The sequence below is a fragment of the Homo sapiens genome, chromosome 3, assembly GCF_000001405.40.
Source record: "Homo sapiens chromosome 3, GRCh38.p14 Primary Assembly".
NCBI lineage: Eukaryota > Metazoa > Chordata > Mammalia > Primates > Hominidae > Homo > Homo sapiens.
This window is the reverse complement of record NC_000003.12, coordinates 157,063,124-157,077,407: the sequence shown is the minus strand read 5'-3', so window position 1 is coordinate 157,077,407 and position 14,284 is coordinate 157,063,124. Positions and strand designations below refer to the sequence as shown.

The window sequence follows — 14,284 nt, the reverse complement described above, 5'->3', positions numbered from 1 at the left end:
CAGTGGACACCTTTCCAGAGTGGCCTTCGGTTATCAGGATAACCAAAGAACTGCAGTAGCTGTGGCAGAGGTGGAGTCAGGACAGAGGGCGTTGGTTGATTTCAGGAGCTATTCTCGCCAGGCTGTGGGAAAACCTGATGAAAATGCTCTGCTTCTGTACGGAGCTCATCTCCCTAGAGATGGGCACACTCACTTCTGCCCTGAGGGGGAGCTGCTCTCTGGCTGAAAGGGGCTGTGCCTCCCCGGCACAGGCACTGGTTCTGCAGATCCCCCAGCCCTTCCTCCCTTGTAGACCACCTTTCTTTGTCATCACACTCTGTCATCACATGCCCTATTTATTTATTTATTATTTTGGACGGAGTCTCGCTCTGTCACCCAGGCTGGAGTACAGTGGTGCGATCTCGGCTCACTGCAACCTCTGCCTCCTGGATTCAAGAGATTCTCCTGCCTCAGCCTCCCGAGTAGCTGGGATTACAGGCACACACCACCATGCCTGGCTATTTTTTTCTTTTTTTCTTTTTTTTTTTTTTTGTATTTTCAGTAGAGATGGGGGTTCACTGTGTTGGCCAAGCTGGTCTCGAACTCCTAACCTCAAGTGATCTGCCCATCTCAGCCTCCCAAAGTGCTGGAATTACAGGCGTGAGCCACTACGCCTGACCCATGTGCTTTTTCTTTTCTTTTTTTTTAATTTCAAGGGTCTGGTCACCTGCATTTGCTAACTCGGTGAATGACCTCCTGCATTCTGGGTTTGTTTAGTAAAGCTCCCAGAACGTAGAGACCAGCAGGGCTTACTTCTGAACAGAGCTGCAGCCTCTTTGCTGCCCCTGAGCTAGAGCAATGGGTCACGAGTGTTCTCTAGGTTTGTCCCTTGCTTTACCCTGTGGGATATTCCTTCTCTGGAGATGTTTTCTCTTTGATTGTAGCTAAAGCTGACAGATGTTTCTGCTAAGTGGATGGTGAATGCCTTTGGAAAGTTTGTATTTCTCCCAATAGAGTGGCAGGAAAAAGAAAGGAACATTGTGGTCTCCGTGTTTTCAACCAAGGAAAGTGGAAAGCAGAAAGCCATCTCTTTTTCTACGCTGTCAGGGTGCCTGGTTCTGTCTTTTGAGCCCTGCCCATCTTCTGGGTCCTGGCCAGAGCACATCTCTGCTGGGCTGGCAGCAGATCCTCAGGATGTGGAAATGCATTGGCTGGACCTGTTTTTGTGTCAACGAACCAAGTGGGGCATTAAGCTAACCACACGGAGAGGCCCTTTTCTCCCCTTGAGTCATTCTCACATCCATTGCTGGGCCTTTGTCAGAGAGTCCTTTGTCACTTTTGAAAATGTTATTTCTTAGGAAATAAAAGAACAGTGTATGGCCATGGTTAGTTTTGCTGGTAAGTTCTATTACTTGACACACAGTTACTGTAATAGAAAAATATGAATCTGATCAGTGTGTTAGGTCTGTTACTACCACAACCATCATCTTTGTCCCCAAACACCACGATCCTGCACTTCAAAAGCATGTTCTTCAAAAGCCATTGTTGTTGGGGAAGCAGGACAAACTGTGCTTGTCTAATGCTGATTTCCTCTAAAAACGAAAGAGAGGAGAATGAAATGAAGCCGTGCAGTTCCAACAGAGCTCTCTGCAAGTGTTGTTTCCATACTGGTGTGTTTTGTCACTGATTTTGGTCAGGGATGTTCAGATTTTCTGTTTGCATTTAATTTGCATTGCTTTTTGTTCAGCCCTGTATAGGTCCACGTTCTTCGCACTCATTTAAGTTAAATGTGCCTCCTTAAAGGTGTCTCCGCATCTTCAGAGGACATGAAAAGATGCAGGTCAGGGATTTGACAATGCGGTTTTGAACCCCAAGGATCAGCATGGAGCAGCTTTCTGGATCAGTAATTCTACTCGTAAACTTTTGGGAAATGTTGTTTTTATATTAAGTGGTGGTGTAATAATGGAGTTGAGTGCTTAATTTGCATGAATTTTAAAGATAATGTTCAATGCATCGAAAATATTCAATGCTTATAACAGGTGCCATAAGTGATCCCCTCAGATTCCTGAAGTGGGTAGAATTATGAGTCGAATTGTGTCCTCCCAGAATATGTTGAAGTGCTAATCCTATCCCTCAGTACTTCAGAATGTGAACTTATTTGGGTATAGGGTGATTGCAGTTGAAATTAGTTAAGTTTAGAAGAGGTTACACTGGAGTAGTGTTGGCTCTAGTCCAATATGACTGGTGCCCTTATGAAAAGGGGAAATTTGGACACAGCCATGTGCACAGGGAGAACACTATGGGAAGATGGAGGCAGAGATCAGGGTGATGCTTCTGCCCAACAAGGAATGCAAAAGATTGCCAGAAAACCGCCAGGTAGGTAAGAGGCCTGGAACAGATCCTTCACTCACAGCCCCAAATTTTAGACTTTTGGCCCCCAGAACTGTGAGACAACAAATTTCTCTTGTTTTAAGGTACTCAGTTTGTGGTACTTTGTGACGACAGTTCTGGCAAACTAATACATGTGGCCATTCTCTTCTCTTGCTGAGGGTGCTTTATTGACAGAGCTTGAGGAACACTGAACTGGGTCATGGAAAGAGCTTAATTTTGGAGTCCAGAGAGCCAGCTTTGGATTCTGGCCATGCCACCTACAAGTTGTGTGTCCTTGGGCATGAATCCAAATGTCCTATTGTGAGCATAAGCAGGAGGGTGCATGTAGTAACACCAAGAATGGAACCTGGCAACCCGGTGGGTTCTCAATGGATGCTATTCTTACCTTGCCTTTCCCTTCTGAGCATTTGTCTAAGAGATGAAAAGCTCAGAGCCTGGAAAAGTAAAATGCCTTGTCCTCAGTTACACCGTGAGCCGCTGCAAGGCTGGATATCAAGTCCAGGCCACCTGATGCCACACCTGCTCTGTGGTTACCCTTGATGTAGTCTTTGGTGATCCTCATGTCCCCATTATAAAAATTCCCCACATATTGTGTCCTATAAAGAATTATAAAGGACAATCTCTAGGTCCCAGATGCAGTTTCTACCATTAAGTGAAAACCACCTGCTCCTGAAAGGTTCTTGCACTACCCCAAAAGCCTTTGTAACAAAATAAATGCCCCAATGTCATTCTCATTTTTTACATATTCTTGACACATAATTGTTAGCATGAGTTGATTATTGGCTCATGAAAACTTATATTTTATTAAAAGGCGTTTTGCAATGTTTCTTATAGGAAAAAGGTTTTGCATCTTTTAAGAAGGAACGAATCAGAGTCAGAGGGTTGATGGAGGTTGTGAAAACTGCAGAGGACTGTCCTGCAGGAACACAATCTGGTTGCATGGTAATGAGGCATAATAAACAAGGGATTCAAGCAAAGCCACTGGTGGTGACTAATTCCAGATGCTAGGTGGCATGCATGCATTACATCTTTTTAACAGAAAAAAGCCACGGAGGAGAAATCAATTTGCAGATTCAGGAATGTTGCTGAAGTTATGTTCCAGTGTCGATAAAGATCAAGGGCTGGAGTCCAGCCTGCATGGATCCTGCCTACCCTGAGGAAGTCAGACACACTCTGGAAAGAGCTACAGATCTCCTTCTCCAAAACATACCCCAATACACGTCTCTACAAAACGTTTCAAATAATTACCAGGGGTTCAGCCCCTCTCCCAGGCTCCCTTCGACTCACTCTTAGGTCCCTGAACTCCAGGTTAAAAACCATCCACATTTCCCTTATTGGCCTCCCTCAAAAAACAAAAACAAAACAAAACAAAACAAAAAGAAAAAAAATTAAGTCCTAGCTTAAAGGACATTTTATGACTTCTCTTTTATTTTTTGTTTTTGTTTTGTTTTGAGACAGAGTATCGCTCTGTCGCCTAGGCTGGAGTGCAGTGGTGCGATCTTGGTTCATTGCAAGCTCGGCCTGCCGGGTTCACGCCATTCTCCTGCCTCAGCCTCCCGAGTAGCTGGGACTACAGGCACCCACCACCATGCCCGGCTAATTTTTTTTTTTTTTGTATTTTTAGTAGAGACAGGGTTTCACCATGTTAGCAAGGATGGTCTCGATCTCCTGACCTCGTGATCCGCCTGCCTCGGCCTCCCAAAGTGCTGGGATTACAGACATGAGCCACCGTGCCCGGCCCATGACTTCTCTTTTATTTAATCACCAGAGGCATCTCAGAAAAAAAATCATGTGGCCTGGAGCAAAGAATAATCATCGATACAGTAGTATTAGTGGGAGAAACTAGAAACCACGGTTTACTGAATGAAAAGGTCTATCAGAGTCTGGACGCCTGGCTGGGTTTTAGGCTCTTTCAAACATGTGGTCATGTGAGCATGAGTGAACTTCTCTTAGCCTCAGTTTCTCTATGAATGCCTGCAGAAGTCACAGCACCCACCTCACAGCTGCCTTGTGAGCAATAAATAACATGTAGATCTCAAATCACCATGTGAACTGTCAATGAACAGAAAGCGGTATCATTCATACGAAAAATAAACTTAGTGACAAAAACACTTAAGCATTTATATTTTTTAGAACTTTGTTCTAAAATTTGAGAATTTTAATACATTGTAATAAAAAATATATTTCATGAAAAAACAAGAGAATGAAAGATTTGATCCTATTCTATCCGTGTTTGAATTTTTATGTCTAGAGGGAAAGCCTAACCTAGAAATTGCAAACCAGTCCACAAGTATGTTGTTTCATCTGCAGAGTGTTAAGCAAGCTTTGTTTTGTTTGTTTTTTAAATAAATTGCCAACATTTAAAACTGTAAGATTTTCCCATTAAACAAACCCTGAGCCAGGTGTGGTGCACACCTGTAGTCCCAGCCACTTGGGAGGCTGAGGTGGGAGGATCGTTTGAGCCCAGGAGTTCAAGGCTGCAGTGAGCCATGATTGCACCACTGCACTCCAGCCTGGGTAAGAGAGTGAGACCCTGTCTCAAAAACAAAAACAAAAAACCCCAAACCAAAACAAAAACCCAGGATTTTCAGTTTCTTTCAGAAAAATAAAAGCAGAATTCATAGCACAACTGGTGGGGTTTTCTACAGCCCACTGTGCCCACTCCTGGGCTGTTTGCTACCCTGGGCCAGCCACAGCCAAGGTACCTCCTGGTGTCACTTTCCCACCAGGAGGTCTAGAGTTTCAAGTAGCTCCTTCCTTCCTTCTTTCCTTCCTTCCTTCCTTCTTTCCTTCCTTCCTTCTTTCCTTCTTTTTCTTTCTCTCTCTCTCTTTCTTCCTTTCTTTCTCTCCTTCCTTCCTTCCTCCTCCTCCTTTTCTTTCTTTCTTTCTTTCTTTTTCTTCCTTCTTCCTTTCTTTCCCTTCCTCCCTCCCTTCTTCTCTCTTTTTTTCCTTTCTTTCTTTTCTTTTCTTTCTTTCTTTCTCTCTCTCCTCTCTCTCTCACTCCTCTCTCTCTCTGTCTCCTCTCTCTTCTCTCTCTCTCCTCTCTCTCTCACTCCTGTCTCTCTCACTCCTCTCTCTCTCCTCTCTCTCTCTCCTCTCTCTTCTCTCTCTCCTGTCCTGTCTCTTCTCTCTTCTTTCTCTTTCCTCTGTCATCTCTCTCTCTCTCTCTACTCTCTCTTCTCTCTTCTCTCTCTCTCTCCTCTCTCTTCTCTCTTCTCTTCTCTCTCTCTCTCTCTCTCTCTCACCCAGGCTGAAGTGCAGTGGTGTGATCTCAGCTCGCCGCAACCTCCACCTCCCAGGTTCAACTGATTCTTATGCTTCAGCTGCCCAGGTAGCTGGGATTACAGGTGTGCACCACCACGCCCGGCTAATTTTTGTATTTTTAGTAGAGATGAGGTTTTGCCATGTTGGCCAGGCTGGTCTCTAACTCTTGGCCTCAACTGATTTGCCTGCCTTGGCCTCCCAAAGTGCTGGAATTACAGGCATGAGCTACTGTTCCTGGCCTCAAGTAGCATCTTCCTAAAAAACATTAAACTTGTAAGGAAACAGCCAGTGCTTGAGACCAAACATGGGGTGTGTGGTTGCTTGCCCCTCAGCTTTGTTTTACCCTCGGGTAAGGCTCCTTGGCCCAGATGTGGGGGAACACTGCCTGGGTAGAGGGAGACTTTTTCTTGTGAAATGAGCACAGGATCCTTGCGAGGACTAAGTCAGATGACATATGTAAACACCTTGCAAGAGTCAACATTCAGGAAATGGTAGTTCTGAGCAGGGGCATCCCAGACCACTCAGGACATCACAAGATTCTGACAAGTAATCTGTACCTCCAACTCCAAGGAGCAATGGTCAGAGTTGGCACCACATCTGTTTGCCAGGATCAGCTTGAGGAAGAGGGTACCCCGTGAGACCACAGTTTCTGAGGAAAAGGACACAGGCCATGGGACTGGAACCCAAAGTGGAAACAGACCTTAAGTGCTAACATGGATGCCTTTTGCCTTTGGTTACTCACTCCTGTGTAACGACGAGTGTTAGAATGTCCAGGGAAATGTGCTGAGCAGAACTGTCTGTTTTAACAAGGCCACATGTAGCAGAGTCGTTTACCTGAATTTGCTCCAAAGAAGACATTACCAGTGATAGCCTGGTGCATTGGCCCCAAGGGCTCACTTCCAGAACAAATACACAACCAACTTCCTACAGAGAGCCCATGGCCAGGGGCCTGTAAACCTAAGGAGGCCTGGGCTTCTTTGGTGTGGGAGGGAAGCAGCTGCCAGGCACTGCTATGGGCCTGACTGGCATTATCGTCAAGGAAATCAGCAGTCCCCAGAAGCCATGCCTAGAAGTGATCTCACTGCTTTCTTCTCCCTGCCAAGGATTCTACGCAAGTCTGTTTTATAGGAAGTTGCCTTTCTTTTGAGCAGAAGAGGACCTCCCCTGTGTTGAGCAAAACGTGAGTAAATGATTACTGGCAGCTGTAAAAGGATCTCATAAAGCATTTCTGTGATCCCCCCAAAAGGACCTGATTTTTATACATTTGCCTTTTTAGTTCACTTTGCAAGTACAAGGCTGTTAAAGTCACTTAATGATGCCAGGGGTAAAGTTCACTTTAGGAAATGGGGTAGCCAAGGGTTTGGGATTTCCCCACACTGTTTCCTTCTCCATCTCATGAGCTGACAAAAGCAACTCTCTGAGTCCCATACCCAGGAACTTGTACTGAGAAAAATAATCCATATTTATTTGCTATTATAAACTAGGGTGGTCTTCAGAAAGAAAACCAGGGCTTTTTCCCGGGTGGGCCCTGCCCTGGAGTGGGGCAAATGATGTGGCAGTGAGCCCCATACTGGGGATGTTGAGAGGAAAAGGGTGCATTTTTGATGGGAAACAAGAGGTCATCTCAGTTCGAACTGTAACCAAGGCGGAGATTCTGAGCCAGGGTAGGAGAGTCCACAGGCTGCCCAGAGTCAGGGAAGTCTGGGTTGGAGCACATCTTGGTGGTCACTTACGGTCAAGATCCCCAGGGATATCCCCTGCCTGCCCACACCCAAGGGAAGCTTTTTCTCTGTTGAAATCCCGAATTTCCTACAGTGGCTCCAGTCTCCAGAGATTCCCTGGACAGATGCTCTCTCCAGATGAACTTTGTCCTCTGACTTACAACAATCACAACTGTTCCCCACATCTGCTTCCAGGAGATCTCACTGGCTGGGGTCACTCAATCAGTATAGAGATGAGAATCTGCCCTCCAATAAATCTTGAGCTTGGGTGGCTTCCTACTGCCCTTTAAGCCTGTATCCCTCTACCCCCAAGTCTACCTCCTTGATCTCTGGGCAATTGAGTCTGGACAATAGTTACTCTCTCACCTCCAAATCTCGAGTACTGCACCACTTAGCAAATGCATCAGGTTTAAAAATCCTGCCACTTAACGTAGGCTTATTTTCTGTCTAAAATGTGCAGATGTTTAATTGTCTCATCTGTGAAATGATGACGAAAATAGCTTATCTGGTTGGACCAGACAAAACTGAACCTGAGCATTTCTCAAGATCTCTTCCGTCTCTGGAATCCATGATTCTGAGATATTTTCAAATATATGCACTAAAAATGAGTTTTTCTAAAACCAAATTGTGATTCATGTGAATTACTAACGACTGAACCAAATACAGCAGCTTATTTAGTTCTGGCCTCAGGAGAAATCTTTTTTTTTGAAACAGGGTCTTGCTCTGTCACCCAGACTGGAGTGCAGTGGCACAATCATGGCTCACTGCACCCTCGACCTCCTGGGCTCAGGCAATGCTCCCACCTCAGGCGATTCTCCCACCTTAGCCTCCGGAGTAGCTGAGACAACAGGCGTGCGCCACCACACCAGGCTAATTGTTTTATTTTTTGTGGAGATGGGGTCTCACTATATTGCCAGTGGTCCCAAATCCCTGGTCTCAAACAGTCCTCTCACCTCAGCCTCCCAAAGTGTTGGGATTACAGGCATGAGCTACCACTCTCTGCAGGAGAAACTTGTAATTTACTTTTAGGTGAAAAGTCTCTTCTCCACTAAATACTGCATAAAAATGGCAAGATTCTCTACTGAATATTAATGTGACCGTAGCAAACAAAGGAAGAGACTATAAAAGTCTGAAATGTAAATATGTGGCCCACTATTCCAAAATAGTAAATGTAACAAAAGGAAGAAAGTCAGCCTCCTCCACCCTAGTGCACCAGGCGGCCTAGGGCAAGCCACAGAAGTCAGCCCCTTACTTCCTTTCCCACCATCCCACCAGGCAGCATCTCTGCCTTTGCTCACATTCTTCCCTGAGTCTTCAGAGCTCCCCGTCCTGCTTCACCTGTGTGAGGTTTCCTCATCCCTGCAGCCCCCACAGCTCACATCTATTTTTTTCTGAAAACTTTGCATAGCCTGCCTGCCCTCTGGGCCGGCTGGAGGTCATCTCTGCTTCTCAGGTTCCCAGCCCCTTGTATGCTGTGACAGCACTCGCCACCCGCTCCTGATATGGCATTGCATGGTTGGTACGCACTTGTCTGTCTCTGTCACTGGACTTAAGTTTCTGGAAGGCCGAGACGCTCTCTGTCATCATTCCCATGGCCCTTACACAGGTTAGACATCCAATACATTTTTATGAAATTTAAATGAATTGAAGAAGGATGACAATTTTCCTATCCAGATGTGTATCTCTACCACAGATTATTGGAACAGACTGTAGTGCGAAAGTGGCAGTGACTTAGTCAATGTAGCCAGTGATTCTGAACGTTGGCACCATTGACATTTGGGCTGGATAATTCTTGGTTGTGGGGGGCTGTCCTGTGCCCTGCTGGATGTTGAGCAGCATCCTTGGCCTCTCCCCAATGGATGCCAGTAGCACTCCTCCTCCTCCTCTTCCTCCCAAGTTATGATATCAAAAACACTGGCAGTATCCCCAGTCATTGACAATGTCTCCTGAACTACCCCTGGTTGAGAACCACTGATGCAGGTGATTCCCAAAGGAGGCTGAGAGAAAGTACCAGACATGATGCTCAGTGATGTCCTACACAGTGTCCTGACTCCTAGAGTCACCGTCATTTTAACACAACAGTGCACAGCAGCCACTTACACCTCTGGCCAAATATTTCTCCCTGACAGGCTATCACAGTGCACGCTAGTCAAACACTGGAATTTTCTTTTCTTTTTTTCTTTTTTGAGATGGAGTCTCACTCTGTCTCCCAGGCTGGAGTGCATGGCAAGATCTTGGCTCACTACAACCTCTGCCTCCTGGGTTCAAGCAATTCTCCTGCCTCAGCCTCTTGAGTAGCTAGGACTACAGGCATGTACCATCATGCCCAGTTAATTTTTGTGTTTTTAGTAGAGATGGGGTTTCATCATGTTGGCCAGGCTGGTCTCGAACTCCTGTCCTCAAGAGATCCACCCATCTCGGCCTCCCAAAGTGCTGGGACTACCGGAGTGAGCTACCACGCCCAGCCCAAATGCTGGAATTTTCTTAAAGGAGGTGGGGAAGGAAGGAACTGAATAAGGCCTCATCCCCTTTGAAATATAAATACCTTTGTTTAGGAGGTTGTGGTCTTGGAGCACAACAGCTACTAACAGGTGCCTGGGGTCATGCCGGGAAACCACAAGGGCAAAAAGTAACAACAACAGCTGATTTGAGAGACATATTTTTCCTTAGAAGGTATACAGGGCCATCACTGCTTGAAATATTCACACATACAAATTCAAGGAAGGGGCACACCTATTTGGCACGAGCCCTGTGGCTGTGGTTAGAGAAGATTTGAATATTTTGAGTGTGCAGGAAGGTGAACTTCATGTATCTTTACCTTAGCTTCCTTAGGCTGGGGCTATCTGTCAGCTACAGAGCAGCCCACAGGCAGGCGGAGCTGTGATGAAGCACATTTGTTCAAACACAGCAAATGGTGTTTGAAAAAACCACCACTCTTGCTTTTTTATGAAGCTATTACACTCTGTCATGTCAGGGAGCTGAGCCCAAGTGATGCCCAAGTGGCCATGATAGACTCACACTACAGGGCCTGGGAGAGCAGTGGGATTGTTTTTTTTCCTCGTTGAGGCAGTAAAAGATTGATTTTTGAGGCAGTGACTGAGGCATTATGCATTAATGACTACGCAGGGATTTTCATTCACATATCACGCACTGACAGTGGAAACTGAAGCTGCTGTGTAAGGTGCTGGCTCAATGCCCTTCCATGACTCCTTCCTCATCACGTCATTTGCCTGCCGAGATGCCGGGGCCTTCCGAATCATGGGGTCGATTGAGTAAAGGGCCCATGGTTTGGTGCAGGGCATCTCAAGCCAACACACGAGAATAACTGATGCAGCTGCTGAGATGAGAAGGTCTGCCGCAATGCTAATAACTCCACCTGGCTGCTCTCACATTTGACTTCTTGTATTCAGATTTGGAGAGACAGCTGGGAGCCTCTGATGAGAAAATAAAAAATTTACAACAATAAGCAAGCTGTCCTCTGACACCAGGAGAGGAACTCGCTTCAGCCCTGGCAAGAATTGCAGCTGGACTTTGTGAGGCACTGTTTCATCAGATGCCAAACATCATAGCAAGGGCAAGAATGACAAGAATTACAGTTTCTGCCCTGATGCACAGGTACTGATGGAAGAGATATTTCTGTGTTGATTTTGCACTTCTCAGGGCAAATCTGCAAAATAGATATCAAAGGAGATGTGGGCACTGGGCAAGGAGCCACACCAATCAACCATATAGAGCAGTCTGGAGGAGTCTCTCCCCATCTCCAACCCTCAGTTTTTCCCACCTGTTAAACACAGGCCACAATGTCTGTGCAGCCACCTCGCAGTGCAGTTAAAAGAACCGGTTTAAACAGTGTTTCTTAGCTTAGAGTCAATGGCTGAACAGGTTGCAGAGGGGCTGTAAAATCCTGAAATTTGCATGAAGCAATTTTTCCATATATGTCCATGTGCATCTTTTTGAGGAGGGGTTTGTCGCTTTCACTATATTCTTAAGAATATAGTCACTCTTAAGAGGTTAAGGGCCACTGTTCTAGGTAATGTGTGAAGGTGATGTATGTGTCCTGTAATTGAGCTATTATCAGCAAGCTTTTTGAGGAAAAAGGGACACAGAGGAGCACTTATTATGTGTTAGGGACTGTGCAGGACACACAGAGAATAGAAAAAAAAATGACCCTGGCCTTCTGGAGCATATGATAGACTTTAGATATGAGCCCAAAACAGATTAAAAGTTAAAAGGAAAAGCTAAGTGTAGGCAACACAGGTGAAAGGTCAGAAGAATGTAAGTGCCCCATAGAAGGAGAGAAATGGACTTCCAGCTACAGTGGGTTTAGGGATGGACACAGAGCGAGGGTGGGATTGAGTACAGGGAAAGGCAGGCAAGAGCATCTGTGGAAGAGGGATGGCCGGTGCAGCAGAGCTTGCATGCTGAGTTGACACGCTCCATGCCAGAGACCCTTAGATTGGGACTAAGTGTCACCGAAGAGAAGGCTGCGTTCAACAGATAGTTCTCAGGGTGACAGTTCATCCCAGGTGCCCTCAGACCCACATGACCTGCTCTTGGTCCTTCAGCCTCCGCTCTGCAGATGGGGCTGAGGGGCCCACCCAGAGAAGCCCTGTGGGGGAGAACAGAGCCTGCCCAGGACAGATATTCTCCTCCTTAGGAGCAAGTCCTCTTGACCCCCATGTTCCAAGCAGGAAGCTTTTCACATGTAGACTTTCTTCCTGCTGTGATGCACAAAAGCAGCCTCTTGCCAGTTAACAAAGTCTGCTGGAGCCTCCTGGGGCCATGCCTAGCACATCGTTACCCGAAGCAGACTAGGCAAACAAAGCCCTAGAAAATGAGAAAAAATGGAAATGATTTGATATTTTAGAAAAAAATATTGAAGTGTTTATCGTGGGGAAAACTGGAACCCTGTTAATATTTTTACTAGTATTGTATGGCATGGCAGTTTCTAAATTCTGCATGTGGTGGGGCCACTGTAACTCTTTCTGGGCAGAGTACTCTGTGATGATTCTACTCAGACCCTGGCTCCACAGACTGGCAAGGCCGCCCCTTCCCAAATCAGCAAGTGTCCTGGACCAAATGGTCATTTCTCCACTCCTCTGGGACTCTGAAAGAGCATTCTCCAGAGCTCTTGGGATCTTGCCTTGGCTCTGTGGATGTAAAGATCCCAAAGTCTTTCTAGAATGTACTCTTGAAGACTGAGTTGACTCTGGAGATCAGTGTAGGATCACTGTCCCCACTTTGCAGCCCCAAACCCACTTCCCAAGGGAGTAATTCATTACCTGCAGTCCTGATTACTCAAAGGAAATGTCTAATGACGTCTGCTCTGCAGTACCCAAGGACCTGAGACCAGGACTCCTGGCCTCTTTTCAGAAAGAGTGGAGTCTGCCATTTCCTGACCACCGCCCTGTCCTCAAGGGCAGCTCATCTCCCGTGTTACATTCCTGCATGAACCCCCGCCCTGATCCTGTGACTTGTCATGTGCCACAGTGCCATGAGATTTGTGTTACTTTGCTTCTGTTCCTGAAAGTTATCAGTTCCCCTTTTCTTCCTATCACTGCCTGGCTGAATGATGAGGGTGCCTGAGGGGAACTGGGTTTCTTCTTTCTGTTCGCGGGTACCAGAAGCAGCACACGCAGGGCCAATGGCTTCAGTTATAGCCACTGGGATGAGGCGTGATTCCTACAAGCCAGGAGAGAAAGACAAGCCTGAGAGATTTTGTCTCAAGGGAGAGACCTCTTGGGGAGAGCCAGCTTCCCATTGCCCCCTGTACTGATCTGGTTTTAGCATTCCTCTCAAACAAAGCCAGGCAATATCTTTTGGGCTCTCTTTTCTGCACTAGGCTCATCAGATGGAGGAGGGGACTCTGGCCCAGCAGAAGGCAGCAGGAGTCTGGCTTTGGCTCTCAGTCAAGACTCCTTCCAGTTCACTTGCTCCCTTGTTGTTTTTAATCAGTCAAAGCCCAGAGCTCCAGATGAAAAAGAAGTGGGGAGGGAGAAAGGCTAAACCTCAGTTCAAGTTAAAGCAGGATTATTTATTTTAATTATTTATTCATACCAACTTCCAGCACAGCACCACATACACGATGGCTGGTATTTAGAATTTCTCAGTCGTGTCTGATCAAAGCTTAACAGTTCCTGGGTCTCTTCACTTCCACAGAATTCTACTTTGGTGGGGTGTGGTGGGGTGGGGAGGCAGGAGTTCGATGTGGGAAATTAATTTGGGCTCAGAGATTAACAATGGTTAAATCTTAGTGTACCTCACCTGCCAGGTAACATGGTATGGTAAACAGTTTTGGTTTTGGCTGGCTGTGCCCTGACCTACCTCTAAGAATTACTTATTCTACATATGGAAAGTTGTTAGTCAGGGTGTCTGCCTTTCTCTGGCCTGGGGTAATGCATGTGAGCCACATGAGGTCGGTCAGATCCTCCTTCCTTGGAATCTGACATTTGAACAAAGTCATCAAAAGATGGAAACCAACTGGAGCTCATTTGTGATTCACAGTTGTGTAGCCAAGCGACCCCAATGAGGAGGTCCTAGGTCTTGATTCTGTGCTGCTTCTTGCCTATGGCGTCACCCCGGTTCCTGTTTGTTCTTTCCTAGTTTCTGGACCTGATTTCCAGTTGAGCTATTGAAAGATCAGCTGTTTTTCCAGTAAATTCCCTTTTGATTTAGATGAGCCAAGGTCAGTTTCTGTTGCTTGCTACTCAAGGAGCTCTAACTACACCCACAGTGAACCTTTGTTTCTCAGAATCCCTTTAGTCACACACAGGTTTCAGAATGGTGCCCTAAAATTGTGCTAGAAGCAAATAAAATCTTTGTGTTGACTTGGACTGTGTTGTAATCATTTCCTACAATTTATTTCCTTAATTGCCAAGTTCCTACTGGCTATTCATTGATTGTAGTTTGTAGCCTGTCTTTTGGTTTCT

The 14,284-nt window shown here is 46.1% G+C and overlaps 2 annotated features.

The window, feature by feature from the left end:
• Nucleotides 12,634-12,763: an enhancer, noted in NCBI's record as "active region_20735". NCBI's record gives its function as "activates an Ori minimal core promoter by ATAC-STARR-seq in GM12878 lymphoblastoid cells {active_cell/tissue: GM12878}" and the evidence as "EXISTENCE:reporter gene assay evidence [ECO:0000049][PMID:35858748]".
• Nucleotides 13,034-13,113: a silencer, noted in NCBI's record as "silent region_14842". NCBI's record gives its function as "represses an Ori minimal core promoter by ATAC-STARR-seq in GM12878 lymphoblastoid cells {active_cell/tissue: GM12878}" and the evidence as "EXISTENCE:reporter gene assay evidence [ECO:0000049][PMID:35858748]".